Genomic DNA, 15,187 nt, shown 5'->3' with positions numbered 1-15,187 from the left:
ACCAGCTGGGCAACATAGCAAGACTCTGTCTCTTAAAGAAAAATAACTGAAAAGTTCACCAGGTCTGGTGGTACACACTTGTAGTCCCAGCTACTTAGGAGGCTGAGGGAGAGGGATTGCTTGAGTCCAGGAGGTCGAGGCTACAGTGAGCTATGATTGCACCACTGCACTCCAGCCTGGGCAACAGAGTTAGAACCCATCTAAAAACAAACAAACAAACCAAAAAACCAAAAAAACCATTCTCCCTAAAACATTTTAGGGAGAACAGAGACTATGACATATCATGACCTGTGGTGAGGAGTGGCCCACTAGGGGCATATACTGTGGGATTCGAGACTCCCTCTTCAACTCGCATTCCTTTAAGAAGCAGACCTGCCATCCCCATTTCAGACGAGGAAACAGAAGTGCTGAAAGGTCTGCCGCCCTCCCTCAAGTCCAAGAGCAGGAGGCTGACGCGTCCGTGGCTCCCCTCCTGGCCCATGCCCTGCCCACCTGCCCTGACACGTTTGGTTACGTTTAGCCACAGCTCAGGTGTCTTGGCCTCTGGGAGCCTCCCTGGACCTGCCTGGACAGAGTGGGCTGCTCACTTCCCGGAGCCTTGATGCTGTTTCTTTTTGTTGTTGTTGTTGTTGTTGTTGAAACTGTCTCGCTCTGTCGCCCAAGCTGGAGTGCAGTGGCACGATCTTGGCTCACTGCAGCCTCCACCTCCCGGGCTCGAGTGATTCTCCTGTCTCAGCCTCCAGAGTAGCTGCAACTACAGGAGCCCGCCACCAAGCCCAGCTAATTTTATTGTATTTGTAGTAGAGACAGGGTTTCACCTCGTTGGCCAGGCTGGTCTCGAACTCCTGAGCTCAGGCAATCCACCTGCCTCAGCCTCCCAAAAGTGCTGGGATCGCAGGTGTGAGCCACCATGCCCGGTCCCTTGATGCTGTTTCTTCCTCCCTCTGCAACACCACCTCTGGGTGAAGCCTCCACCCCCCTGCTCAGGCCATGAGCCACGCAGAACTTCTGATCTCCCCTGTCCCGTCAAGGCCATGCAGGCACTGAGATGAAGGAGTGACCGGTATGGCCAAGAGAGGCTGCGGCTGGAGAAAGAACATCTGCAAATATCGAGCCACCACAGAGCCTAAAGAAAGGGGCTGAAAGAGGGAGATTGTCCCCTTGCTTTTTGGTTTGCAAAAGTCCTCTCTCCTTCTAGCTGGGTAAGGTGGAGACCACCACATGACACTGGCCAGGGCCTGGCAGCCAGCTTGGACCTCCTGTTATTTCTTTCCTGTATTCTCCAAGTTCCTAGCAGAACTTTCTACCTGAAACAGCACTCGTCCCGAGGCCACGGAGTAGGTGACGCCCACCTGGGGACACTGACAGCAGTCAGACCCAGACGAGAGCTGTGACCCTGAGCGCCGGTGGCTCAAGCCGGTAGGCGGAGGCCACATCCCAAGGCTGTGCCAGGCCCTCATGGACACAGGAGCCCTATGGGCAGTGCCCTGTCCCAGGACGCCTGAGGGACCGGGGGGTTCTGCTCTGCCAGGTCTGCCAAGCAAACAGCCATGGGGCAGCCACTGGGAGCTGGGGCTGTGCTTCACGGAAATGCCAGGGAAATAAACCCCCAGGTCCTCATGGGGCTGCAGGCTATTTCTTTTAGTGAGACAAGGTCTTGCTTTGTCACCCAGGCTAGAGTACAGTGGTGTGATCCTAGCTCACTGCAGCCTCAAACTCCTGGGCTTAAGCGATCCTCCCGCCTCAGACTCTCAAGTAGCTGGGACCACCGGCGCATACCACTGTGCCTTGCTAAATTTAAAAAAAAAAATTTTTTTTTTTCAGTATAGATAGGGTCTTGCTATGTTGCCCAGGGTGGCCTTGAACTCCTGGGCTCAAGTGATTCTCCTGCCTCGGCCTCCCAAAAAGCTGGGATTACAGGCTTGAGCCACCATGACTAGCCAGGTTGCAGGCTACTTCTGCTGAGACACTTTGCAAGATTCAGTGGATCCTGGTGGCCAGGGGGAGGGTTGGAGGTTCAAGGCTACTGCTGGGCAATTTGGGCAAATTAGTTCACGGCTCTTGGATTTCAGATTTCTCTCCTGTAAGGTAAGGTTTTGGAAAAATCTCTGCCTTAGCAGATGGAGGATTAAGCGGGATTTTCTGTGTGAATCAGGGGCCAGTAAACTTGTTCTGCGAAGGGGCAGGTGGTGAATATTTTTGGCTCCATCTGCTGTCACCGCTCAGCTCTGCCAATGTGGCAGGAAAGCGGTCACAGACAAACAGGTAGGGGCATGGGTGTGGCCACATGGAGGACACCCTCCTGGTACCAGTGATCTCTACCGGGGGTCTGCAAAGTGTGGCCAGCCACCTATTACTGTACAGCCTACGTTCTAGGGACAGTTTTCACATTTTAAAAATGCTTAGGGGGCTGGGTATGGTGGCTCACACATATAATCCCAGCATTTTGGGAGGCCAAGGAGGGCGGATCACTTGAGGTCAGGAGTTCATGACCAGCCTGGCCAACATGGTGAAACTCCGTCTCTACCAAAATACAAAAGAAATTAGCCGGGTGTGGTGGTGGGCACCTGTAGTCCTAGCTACTCGGGAGGCTGAGGCAGGAGAATCGCTTGAACCTGGGAGGCGAAGGTTGCAGTGAGCCAAGATTGCGCCACTGCACTCCAGCCTGGGCGACAGGGCAAGATTCCAACTGGAAAAAAAAAATGCTTAGGGGAGAAAAAAAGTCAAAAAATTGGCCGGGCATGGTGGATCATGCCTGTAATTCCAGCACTTTGGAAGGCCGAGGGGGGTGGGTCACAAGTTTGAGACCAGCCTGGCCAACATGGTGAAACCCCATCTCTACCAAACTACAAATGAAATTAGCCGGGCGTGGTGGTGTGCACCTGTAGTCCCAGTTACTTGGGAGGCTGTGGCAGGAGAATCGCTTGAACCTGGGAGGCAAAGGTTGCAGTGATCCAAGATTGTGCCACTGCACTCCAGCCTGGGCGACAGAGTGAGACTCCATCTGAAAAAAAAAAAAAAAATGCTTAGGGGAGAAAAAATGTCAAAAGATCGGGTGGGTGTGGTGGCTCATGCCTGTAATTCCAGCACTTTGGAAGGCCGGGGGTGGGGGGTGGGGGTGGGGGTGGGGGTGGATCACAAGGTCAGGAGTTCGAGACCAGCCTGGCCAATATGGTGAAACCCCGTCTCTATTAAAAGCACAAAAATTAGCCGGGCATGGTGGTGGGCGCCTGTAGTCCCAGCTACTTGGGAGGCTGAGGCAGGAAATCGCTTGAACCCGGGAGGAGGAGGCTGCAGTGAGCTGAGATCGCACCACTGCATTCCAGCCTGGGCAACAGGGCGAGACTCCGTCTCAAAAAAAAAAAAAAAGAAAAAAAAAAGTCAAAAGATCTCTTGATGGCTGAAATTGATGTGAAATTCAATTTTCAGCAGCAGCAAATGACGTTTTCCTGGCACACAGCCACATCGGTCTGGGTCTGGCTTAAGGCTGCATTTGAGTTACAATAGCAGAGTCAAGCCATTCTGACAGAGACTGGGTGGCCCCTAGGATCTGTGTGAAATACAGACTGTCTGGTTTTCGTGAGAAAAGAGTGGCCAGGGGCCGCTGTTCTGGATCCTCTGTTAAATGGGGTTTTCCGGGGATCCCCGACATGGTTCCAGCAGGATGGGTCGGCAGGAGGTGAGTGTCACCCTGGGTGACTGGTCTCCCGAGGCCATGGTGGGGACGTGGAGGAGCAGGCCTGGGAAGCACCCAGGACAAAATGGGTCCACAGGGTCACGTGCCCAAGGAGGGCTGGGTGAGAAGAGACTCCCTGGGAGCTGGGAGCAGAGGGGGCGGAGGCCAGCAGGCAGGGCTGGAGGCGAGGAAATGAGAAGTTTAGCTGATGCTTTCAACAGAGCTCAGAGCTGTGGTGAAGGCGGGGCCGAGGGAATGAGGAGGTTAGTGGGGGCCATGTCGGGGATGATGCCAGCCAGGCACAAGGAAGACCCTGCGAAGGGGGTGGGTGTCATGGAGGTGAGGAGGCAGCTATGTGGTGCAAGACAGGACTCCCCACACCCCCAAGCCCAAGCCTGCACAGGAGGCAGCTGCAGGCTCAGTTGGCCTGCGGATGTGGGGGCAGGAAGTGGAAGAGTCACCCCAACCTCATGGCTCCCCTATTCGCAGAGGAGGAAGTGGAGGCTCTCCAGGGCCCCTAGCCTAGCTGCTGCCGGGTTCTGTTCTTTTCTGGTTGCTCAAGGGGTTTGGGGCACCCCGGCAGGCTCTCGATAGCTGGTTGCTGGTCAGATGGACGGACGGCAGGGATGTACAGAGAGCTGAGTGCTCCCAACGCCGTATGTCCCAGTTCACAAGAGACACCAACTGTCAGCCACAGACGCAGATGGCATTACAGCAAACACTGAAACGCAGCAAGGACTCCCAGGGCTAGGACGTGGCCCTTTAAGGACAGACTCCTACCATGAGCTAAAGTCTCACAGCAAACCCTACAGGGGTGGGGTAGGGGAAGCCTTAAATAACAACAAAAACCTAAGTGTGAAACAAGTTACTGAAATCTTACATATGTCACTAAATTTGGGTTTAGGTTATCACGAAACCACGTACTAGGTCACAGAAAGAATACAGAACAAACCAGGCTTTGATGGGGGAAGGTCCTGTTTGGTTCTCAAGGCTGTGAAAACATCTGAAGAATTTATCATATTTCCCCTAGGGCTCATCTTACCCTTTTTTTGGGGGGGGGGGGATGGGGTTTTACTCTGTTGCCCAGGCTAGTGTGCAGTGGCATGATCTTGGCTCACTGCAACCTCTGCCTTCCAGGCTCAAGTGATTCTCCACCCTCAGCCCTCCAAGTAGCTGGGACCACAGGCATGTGCCACCACGCCCGGCTAAGTTTTTGTATTTTTGGTAGAGATGGGGTTTCATTATGTTGCCCAGGCTGGTCTCGAACTCCTAAGCTCAACTGATCTGCCCACCTTGGTCTCCCAAAGTGCTGGGATTACAGGTGTGAGCCACCGCAGCTGGCCTCATCTTGCCCATTTGATGCCCAAATCATTCTCTTTGGGGGTTACTTTGTTCTTTTTTCTCAGCTTGAGATAGGACATGAATTCATTTACTTCCGTTCTTTCCTATTTGTGGATCTAATGGGTGTTCAGCTATGTGGTGTCCTCCTACCATCACTTTAAATATAGCCCATGGATTCTGATAACATACGGGTGTTTGTCACTGATTTTTAGAAAACCTGCAATTTTGGTCTGTTTGTACCTTTTTTTTTTTTTTTTTTTGAGACAGAGTCTCACTCTGTTGCCCAGGCTGGAGTGCAGTGGCGCGATCTCGGCTCACTGCAACCTCTGCCTCCCAGATTTGAGCAATTCTCTTGCCTCAGCCTCCTGAGTAGCTGGGATTACAGGTGCCCGGCTAATTTTTGTATTTTTAGTAGAGACGGGGTTTTGCCATGTTGGCCAGGCTGAGCTCGAACTCCTGACCTCAGGTGATCTGCCCGCCTTGGCCTCCCAAAGTGCTGGGATTACAGGCATGAGCCCCCACGCCCAGCTGTGTTTGTATCTCTTCATCTAAGAGTTGCTCAATATAAGTTTACTTTAAAAAAAAGTTCCACGAAGTTTTATTGCATTGTTAGAGTGTCACTTGTAATTGTTCTACTCTGGGAAGTTCTAAATGCTTTCTCTTTACCTGACATAGGAATGATTTTTATTTGTAGAGATGGGGTCTTGCTATGTTGCCCAGGCTGGTCCTGAACTCTTGGGCTCAAGTGATCCTCCTACCTCAGCCTCCTCAACAGCTGGGATTACAAGTGTGTACCACCACACCTGACTCTGATATAGAAATGATTTTTGAGTCCAGGTGTGGTGGCTCACACCAGTAATCCTAGCACTTTGGGAGGCCAAGGTGGAAGGATTGCTTGAGGCCACAAGTTGGAGACCACCCTGGGCAACATAGTGAGACCCCGTCTCTACAAACAATACAAAAATTAGCCAGACTTGATGGTGGTAAGTGCCTGTAATCCTAGCTGCTTGGGAGGCTGAGGTGGGAGGATCACTTGAGCCCACGAGATTGAGGCTGCAGTAAGCCAAGACTGCACCACTGAACTCCAGCCTGGGTGACAAAGTGAGACCCTGTCTCAAAAAAGAAAAATGATTTTTTGAGAATGTTCCATGTATGTGTAAGGAGGTTTATTCTCTTAAGAGTTCACGATATGGCCACAATGTCTGCCTTAAGCATGTGGTTTGGGCGTCTTAACATCCTTGCCTATTTTCTATCTACTCAACCAAGCTGTGTGTGTGTTTCTCCTTGTATCTTTTAGAATTTTTACTTTGTGGCCAGGTGTGGTGGCTCATGCCTGTAATCCCAGTACTTTGGGAGGCTGTGACAGACGGATCACCTGAGTTCAAGACCCGTCTCTACTAAAAATACAAAAATTAGCCAGGTGTGATGGCGTGCGCCTGTAATCCCAGCTATTTCAGAGGTTGAGGCAGGAGAATCGCCTGAACCAGGGAGGTGGAGGTTGCAGTGAGCTGAGATCATGCCACCGCACTCCAGCCTGGGTGACAAGAGTGAAACTCCATCACACACACACACACACACACACACACACACACACAAATTTCTACTGTATAAAGGCAGTGGCTATGTTGTTTGGTGCATAGATATTCACAAGTGTTATACCTTTATTGCAAAGTGAGGCTTTTGGCATCATAACCAATCTTTGCCACATGTAATGTGCAGAGGCCTGAACTATGTCCGAATTGCAGCTCTGCTATCTCCCGTTTCTCACTGCCTGGTACACCTGTGCTTGCTTTCCCCTTTGTTTTTAACTTCCTGAAGCCCTTTGATTTAGGTGTGTCTTGTGTATAAAGCAAGGAACAGAACTTGCTTTATATACTTGCAAGCCAAGCTGAAAATCCTTTCATTTTATTTACTTATTTATTATTTATTTACTGAGACAGGATCTTGCTCTGTCCCCCAGGCTGGAGAGCAGTGGTGTGATCGTAGCTCACTTCAGCCTCCAATTCCTGGGTCCTGCGGCCCTCCCACCTCAACCTCTTGAGTAGCACCACCTTGCACCACCACGCCTGTTTAATTTTTTAATTATTGTAGAGACAGGGTTTTGCTTTGTTGTATAGGCTGGTCTTGAACTCCTGGCTTCAAGTGAGCTTCCTGCCTTGGCCTCCCAAAGTGTTGGGATTACAGGCATGAGCCACTGCAACTGGCCCTGAATGATGTCATTTAAAGTTACCAGCATCATGGCCTCATTAGCTCCTAAGGCTCTGTCCACCATGGTTGAACCTCTTTCCTGCCTGCTAACTGATACCTGCCTGTCATTGGCTGTCTGTGTCTATGTCCCAAACTCCTGGGCTCAAGTGATCGTCCCGTCTCAGCCTCCTGAGCATCTTGGATTACAAGCATGTGCCACCACACCTGGCTGTGATGTAGGAATGATTTTTGAGACTGTTCCATGTAGACTTAAGGAGGTATGAGGGGAGTGATTCTCCAGATCACCTGTTTTTTTGAGGCAGAGTCTCACTCTGTTGCCCAGGCTGGAGTGCAGAGGTGCAATCTCCCGGGTTCAAGCAATTCTCCTGCCTCAGCCTCCTGAGTAGCTGGGATTACAGGTGCATGCCACCACACCCAGCTAATTTTTGTATTTTTAGTAGAGACGAGGTTTCACCATGTTAACCAGGCTGGTCTCGAACTCCTGACCTCAGGTGATCTGCCCCCCTCTTACTCCCAAAGTGCTGGGATTACAGGCCTGAGCCACTGCGCCTAGCCTCCAGGCAACTTTTGATGGCTTCCTGAAATAATGCATCTTTTGCAAGAAAGATTCTCAACCTCACTTTGCAACCAGCTTGCACCGTATTTGCATCATGGGAGGAGCCAGCCTTAGGCTAAGCTGAGAGGGGAGTCTGAGTGGAGGCTCATTCTGCAAGTGTTCAGCTCATTTGGAAAGGTTTCATCTTGAGATGACGTTTGCTTCCCCACACAATCTCCAAACCACAGGGACTTGAACAGCAAAGACTTCCAGTACTTTTTTTTTTTTTTGAGACAGGGTTGCATTCCTGTCGCCCAGGCTGGAGTGCAGTGGCACGATCCTGGCTCAACACAACCTCCAACTCCCGGGCTCAAATGATTCTCCTGGCTCAGCCTCCAGAGTAGCTGGAACTACAGGCACGCAGCACTGTGCCGGGCCAATTGTCATATTTTTAGTAGAGATGGGGTTTTACCATGTTTCCCAGGCTGGTCTCAAACTCCTGACCTCAAGCAATCCAACCGCCTCAGCCTCCCATAGTGCTGGAATTATCGGCGTGAGCCACCGCGCCCTTCCAGTACTTTTAATGCGGCAAAAGTGAACATTTGCACATGTAAAGAAAGGTAATCTCCTTAGGGAGGGCTGGAAGGAGGGTCTGTAGCTACCACAGCACCTCTCTGCCCTCCCTGCAGGTGCCACTGCCTCTCTCTGTAAACTTGGGGTGGGGGATGCCTTTTGGGGCCCCCAGGCTCCCCTTGGACCCACTCTCCAGAGCTGTGGTCAGCAACCCGTCATCCTGTGGCGGCAGCTCTTGGATATATATATATATATATATTTGGAATACATATCTGCTGTAAGTGTGGGTTCCCTCACTTATGGTAGTGGGGAAAGAAAGTCTGAATCACCAAGATTTCAGTTTGCCCTCATCTCCCGAACCCCAGTGTGGGACCACTGCTGTGTCCCTTCAGTGGGCTGTGGTGAGGAAGAGAAAAAGTTGACAATCCAAGTACAAGTAAGCGGGTGTGTTAAAAACAACAGGCCAGGCGCCGTGGCTGACGTCTGGAATCCCAGCCTTTTGGGAGGCCAAGATGGGTGGATGGCTTGAGTCCAGGAGTTCGAGACCAGGCTGGACAACATGGCAAAACCCCATCTCTACTAAAAATACAAAAATTAGCTGGGTGTGGTGGTGCACGCCTGTAGTCCCAGCTACTTGGGAGGCTAAGGTGGGAGGATCGCTTGAGTCCGGGAGGTGGAGGTTGCAGTGAGTTGAGATCACACCATTGCACTCCAGCCTGGGCGATAGAGCCAGACTCTGTCTTGAAAAACAACAACAAGAAACCCCAGACCGGGTATGAGGGCTCATGCCTGTAAATCCCAGGGCTTTGCAATCCTCCTGCTTCAGTCTTCTGAGTTATCTGCAACTACAGGCATGTGCCACCATGTCAGGACTAAACTGCTCTATATCTGCTGTTATATATCTCTCTCTCTCTCTCCAGAACATATACTCCAAGAGCTGCCGCCACAAACCCACTCCAGCCAGTTTATTCAATACTCACCATGAGGACTGTTACCAATTAGCATAAAGGAGATATACATTTAGATATCTATCTATCTATCTTTTTTTTTTTTTTTTTTTTTTTTGAGACAGAGTCTTGCTCTGTTGCCGAGGCTGGAATGCAATGGCATGATCATGGCTCACCAACTATAACCTCTGCCTCCTAGGCTCAAACGATCCTCCTGCCTCAGCCTCCTGAGTAGCTGGGGTTACAGGCACATGCCTGGCTAATATTTTTATTTTTTGTAGAGATGGGGTCTCACTATGTTGCCCAGGGTGGTTTCAAACTCCTGGCCTCAAGCAATCTTCCCGCCTTGGCTTCCCAAAGCACTGGGATTACAGATGTGAGCCTGAATGGCCCTTCATTCCTTTTTATGGCTAAATAATCTCCTTTGAATCCAATCTGCTCTGAAAAGGGGCAGTAGCGGTGGCTGCCCAGCCTGTCTTGGGCGCTCACTCCAACGCTGAATGGTATACTGTGTGGCATCCTCCTTGGGTCTGGGGAAGCCACAGCAGGCACTGCCCTGAGCCCAGAGGGATCATATGATACAAAGACCCTTGCTGCTCCTGACAGTTGGGCACAAGCTGCTCCTCATCACCTCCATCTTGGTTTACACATCCTGCCTTTGACATATCATGGGCCTGCAATCCTCCCACCTCAGCCTCCTGAGTAGCTGGGACTACAGGCATGCGCCAGCACGCCTGGCTAATTTTTGTATTTTTCGTAGCAACGGGGTTTTGCCACGTTGTCCAGGATGACCTCAAACTCCCGAGCTTGGCCGGGCGCAATGGCTTATAGCTGTAATCCCTGCACTTTGGGAGGCCGAGGCAGGTGGATCATGAGGTTAGGAGATCGAGACCATCCTGACTAACATGGTGAAACCCCATCTCTACTAAAATTAAAAAATTAGCCGGCCATGGTGGTGGTGCCTGTAGTCCCAGATACTTGGGAGGCTGAGGCAGAAGAATGGCATGAACCCGGGAGGCGGAGCCTGCAGTGAGCTGAGATTGCGCCACTGCACTCCAGCCTGGGTGACAGAACGAGACTCTGTGTCAAAAAACAAAAACAAAACAAAACAAACAAACAAACAAAAAACTCCTGAGCTCAAATGATCCTCCTGCCTCGGCCTCCTGAAGTGCTGGGATTACAGGTATGAACCACGGGGCATCTCTGCTTTTCTTTACGTGGCAGTTCCAGAGTAAGGATGGGAGCGCACTCAGGCATAGGAGGACCGCCCAGGCTCCCCTCCTCGGCCTCCCTGCTGCCTCAGTGTCCTGTGACTCCATCTCAGCACTCGCTCATTCCTGGCTCTTCCTCAGCCAACACCAGAAGCCGGCTGTAAGAAACACAGGGTCGCTGAAGAGAGCCTGCTCAGAGCCTCAGGGTGCAAGGCAGTGGGAGCCACACCCCATGCTTGCCCGTCATCCTGGATCTGTGCTCTGAATCTCCCAGTGGTGCTGTGCGCTGGCACTGAAGGGACATGGAGGCCTTTGGGTGGGACTTAAAAGGATGATGGTGGCAAGAGTATTCCAGATTGAGGGCACAGCACATGCAAAGGCCCTGGGGCGTGAGAGATCAGGAGGCAGAACAGAGAGGTCAAGTGACTTGCTGCAGGTCACACAGCATGCAGGCAGCCAAGCCTGCACTCAAACCCCCACATCTTGCTTCCTGGCCATTCCTCTGAACTCCTGGAGCTGGTAAATTCTGGTTTGTAGGGGAGAGGTGAGAGGTGCCGAGAACGGGTCCAGGCACTTTGGCAGGACTGGAGATGTCCCCTCAGGCCGGCCTGCACTGAGGGCCTCTCCAGGGGCTGCCTGCCCTTGTCGTCTTCTCATCCTCCTTGGAGGACAATCTTATTAACAATTACACCTTCCACAAACAGCTCCCTCCACACAGGTGGTGGCTTCATTTAAAAGAAAATTTAAATTAAAAAAACAGGCCCGGCATGGTGGCTCACGCCTGTGATCCCAGGCGTGATCACAGGAGGCCAAGGTGGGCGGATCACCTGAGGTCAGGAGTTTAAGACCAGCCTGGCCAACATGGCGAAACCATGTCTCTACCAAAAAATACAAAAATCAGGTGGGCGTGATGGCGCACGCCTGTAGTCCCAGCTATTTGGGAGGCTGAGGCAGGAGAATCACTTGAACCTGGGAGGCGGAGGTTTTAGTGAGCCAAGATCGCACCACTACACTCCAGCCTGGGTGACAGAGTGAAACTCTGTCTCAAAAAAATAAAAATAAATAAATAAATAAATAAATAAATTCATTTTAAAAAATTTTAAAAAATATAGAGACAGGCTCTCGCTATGTTGTCATGCTGGTCTCGAACTCCTATGCTCAAGCTATCCTCCTGCCTCAGCCTGCCAAAGTGCCGGGATTACAGGCGTGAGCCATGGCTCCCGGCCTCCATCTAGGTGGTGGCTTCTGAATTACCACTGCTCCCTGCAGATTCTGTCCAGAGCGCCAGACCAGATTTTCAATTGTACTCTCTAAAGGCCTCTAAACTAAAGCAGGTCTCTCTGCCTCAGCACTACTGACATTTGCAGCCGGGTCATTCTTTAAAGAGGGGGGCCGTCCTGTACACTGTGGGGTGTTTAGCAGCATCTTGGCCTCTACCCACCAGAAGCCAGTAGCATCTCTCCCTCCCCAGCTATGATAACCAAAAATGTCTCCAGCAGTTGCCAAACATCAACCGATGGCAGAATCAGCTCCAGGCAAGAACCTCAGTTCACATACCCGCTAACTAGAATCCTGTATATGTCTTTTCTTTTTTTTTTTTTTTTTTTTGAGGAAGAGTGTCGCTCTGTCACCCAGGCTGGAGTGCAGTGGCATGATCTTGGCTCACTGCAACTTCTGACTCCCGGGTTCAAGCCATTCTCCTGCCTCAGCTTCCTCAGTAGCTGGGATTACAGGCGCCTGCCACCACGCTTGGCTAATTTTTGTATTTTTAGTAGAGATGGGGTTTCACCATGTTGGCCAGGCTGGTCTCCAACTCCTGACCTCAAGTGATCAGCCTGCCTCGGCCTCTAAAAGTGCTGGGCTTACAGGCGTGAGCCACCGCATCGGGCTGAGAATACTGTAATGACACTGACAAAGACAGAGGTGGCCGTAATTCACTCTCCCTTAAAGAGGTGATGATACTGTCCGGGATTTACAGAGAACCCCCTCTAGGGAAGGTGTTGGGTGCTGGTGCCTGACCACTGCTAAGTCATCCCTTTCTTTCTTTTACCAGGAGGAACCACGTGTCGGGGTCACAGGGCCAGTCAGCAGCTGGGCAGAAGATGCCAAGCTGCCTCTGGGCACTCCCGGGAATGGGGTTCTCGAGGGGACTGGTTTCAGGAGCTGGTTCTGGCTTGCTGTGGCCAAGTCACACAGAAGGAAACCTTAGGTGGCAACTGCACTGTGACATTGGGGACTGAGCTGCCCAGGGCGAGGCCTGCAGAAATCGGATCTATCCTGGATAATCACTAGGAAACAAATTGGCAGCCAGGCCCTGTGGCTGATTGATGCCTGCCCACACTCCCGCCCCAAACATTGAGGCTGACATCGCCGATAGACAGATGGGTCCCCTGTCTCCATAACCCTGGAGCAGTAAAACCCCCAGAACATTTGGGGAGGGCAGGGCTGTGGCAGGGGTGTCCCAGACCTTACACTTCAGCTTTTAATCAACTTTCTCCAAATTCCAAGGAGACCTTTTTATGGTGCTTAAAATATACCCCATAATTTCACTCTTCTCTTAGATGCAGCATTCCCCAAAATATAACTTCCCCTTTTGTCTAAAATAGCCTTAGATCATTCCAAACGTCAGGGCTGTGTTGTTTTATGTGGCAGGGCACAGAAATGAAGCCGAGGGAGTACCTGGGGATTTGGGGGTGGCGGTGGGGTGCCCCTTCTACCTGGGGGTCAATGCAGCCTCCAGCCTCAGCACTCAGCTGTAGGGCACCCCCATCCTCTCCATACCCACCAAAGACAACTTTGGCTGATGTGCCCCATTTTTCAGCTTGGAGCGGCCTCTCTGCGGTCTGCACCCCTCCCTCCATTCCCTCTTTCCCACCCAGGCTGCCCCTCACAGCGCCTGCTGCTCTCTGTGCTCTGTGGGGGGAACACCCAGGCCTGCTGGTTTGTCTCCAGAGCTGGGGAAAAGGCACCAGGGCTGGGAATGCTGCCGGGTCACAATGACCACTGCCTTGTTCCCAGCCGCCTGACTCCGGGATGCCTGTCCTCATGCCATAATTCACTCTCCCTTAAAAGAGGTGGCCCTCTGGCTTAATTATCCCCCAACTGCAAGCTCCAGTACACCCTCTGAGCTCCTAGTCACACTTCTGACACCCCAGATGCCAGCTTCCTCCTAGGGGGTTTGCGGCCTTGGGCATGCACCTCTGGTCAGGCCCTGTCAGCTACAGTGAGGAAGGGGGCTGGTGTGAGAGACCAGGAGGATGACAGGGTCCTGCTCGGTGACTCTGGGCCCACAGGTTCCATGATCCTCTTCCCACTGAGTCCCTGGCAGACTGTGCGCCCTGCAGGCAGGATGCACGCGATCTCAGAGCCCAGGAGGCAGCTGGAAACCCTTCAAGAGATGGGGCCTGCTGATGTTCAGCCCTGTGAGGGGGTTCAAGGCAAGGAGGGAACCCCGCACAGCTCCTGCCAGCCTAGCCAGGTCCCAAATGCATGGGCTGTACTACCACTCCCAGCTGTGGGGCAGAGAGACAGAGTGAGTTAGCTCCGCCGAACCCTGTGGGACATCTCTATCTGTGTCCTCCTTTCCTGACTCCCCAAACTGCTTTATGACTCTGTGTGGGGAAATGGATGTTTATGAATACGTATGTATGTCTATGGCACGGATACAAATGCAGAGATTCCAGCTGGTGATCTGGGCTGTCTGGATCTAGGATGGAAAGCTGCTTTCATTACATTTGGGAAGGGGGAGCTGAGCAGAAGATAAGAAGACACCTGGGGGCCGGGTGCAGTGGCTCACACCTGTAATCCCAGCACTTTGTGGGGGACGAGGTGGGTGGATCACTTGAGGTCAGGAGTTTGAGACCAGCCAGGCCAACATGGTGAATCCCCATTTCTACTAAAAATACAAAAATTAGCCAGGTGTTGTGGTGGGCGCCTGTAATACCAACTACTCGGGAGGCTGAAGCAGGAGAATTGCTTGAACCCGGGAGGCGGAGGTTGCAGTGAACTGAGATCGCACCACTGAACTCCAGCCTGGGCGACCAAGCAAGACTCCATTTCAAAAAAAAAAAAAAAAAGGCATCTGTGAAATGGTCACCTTTATGGGGTTCTGGAACATTCTACGAAGCGGTGGATGTACTGGGGTAGACAAAGGAAAAAAAATTCCTATAAAGGGCCAGGTAGTAAATATTTTCAGCTTTGTGGGCCATGCAGTGTCTCGGGTGCAATTACTCGGCTCTGCACTCATGGTGCCAAAGATGCCAGGGATGATATGTAAATGCATGGGCATGGTTATGCACCAATAAAACTTTATTTGTAGAGATAGGCACTGGCAGATTTAACTCATGGGCTGTAGTTTGCCAACCCCTGGTAGATACCAAAGGAAATGAAACCTTGCTGGCGTGGTGGCACGTGGCTGTAGTCCCAGCTAATTTGGAGGCTGAGGCAGGAGGCTCACTTGAGCCTAGGAGGTTGAGGCTGCAGTGAACTATGACTGGACCACTGCACCTCAGCTTGGGCGACAGGGCTAGACCCTGTCTCTAAAAAAAATTTTTTTTAAAGTTAAGAAAAATGAAAAGACACTAAAAAGACGAAGTGTTTTATTAAAAAAAAAAAAAAAAAAGGGGAAAAGCAACTGGGGGAACCAAAAGAGATAATGAAACGTGTCATGGTTCTGCCAAAGTGGGGAATCTCTGGC

At 51.5% G+C, this 15,187-nt stretch overlaps 1 protein-coding gene across 2 annotated transcripts in view, besides 3 other annotated features; it reads right to left on the bottom strand.

Annotated features, from left to right (window-relative positions):
• Positions 1 to 15,187, bottom strand: part of MYO9B (myosin IXB) — a 137,510-nt gene that overhangs the window by 83,250 nt on the left and 39,073 nt on the right. The gene's annotated exons all lie outside the window — the stretch shown is intronic.
• Positions 3,483 to 3,922: an enhancer, noted in NCBI's record as "active region_14258". NCBI's record gives its function as "activates an Ori minimal core promoter by ATAC-STARR-seq in GM12878 lymphoblastoid cells {active_cell/tissue: GM12878}" and the evidence as "EXISTENCE:reporter gene assay evidence [ECO:0000049][PMID:35858748]".
• Positions 4,033 to 4,422: an enhancer, noted in NCBI's record as "active region_14257". NCBI's record gives its function as "activates an Ori minimal core promoter by ATAC-STARR-seq in GM12878 lymphoblastoid cells {active_cell/tissue: GM12878}" and the evidence as "EXISTENCE:reporter gene assay evidence [ECO:0000049][PMID:35858748]".
• Positions 13,235 to 13,734: an enhancer, noted in NCBI's record as "H3K4me1 hESC enhancer chr19:17227113-17227612 (GRCh37/hg19 assembly coordinates)". NCBI's record gives its function as "activates a minimal SCP1, AML or CMV promoter by ChIP-STARR-seq in naive H9 embryonic stem cells {active_cell/tissue: H9 hESC(naive)}" and the evidence as "EXISTENCE:reporter gene assay evidence [ECO:0000049][PMID:30033119]".

This window comes from Homo sapiens, chromosome 19 (genome assembly GCF_000001405.40).
Source record: "Homo sapiens chromosome 19, GRCh38.p14 Primary Assembly".
Taxonomy (NCBI): Eukaryota; Metazoa; Chordata; class Mammalia; order Primates; family Hominidae; genus Homo; species Homo sapiens.
Note: the sequence above shows the minus strand (reverse complement) of the source record. Positions and strands in the feature narration are given on the sequence as shown.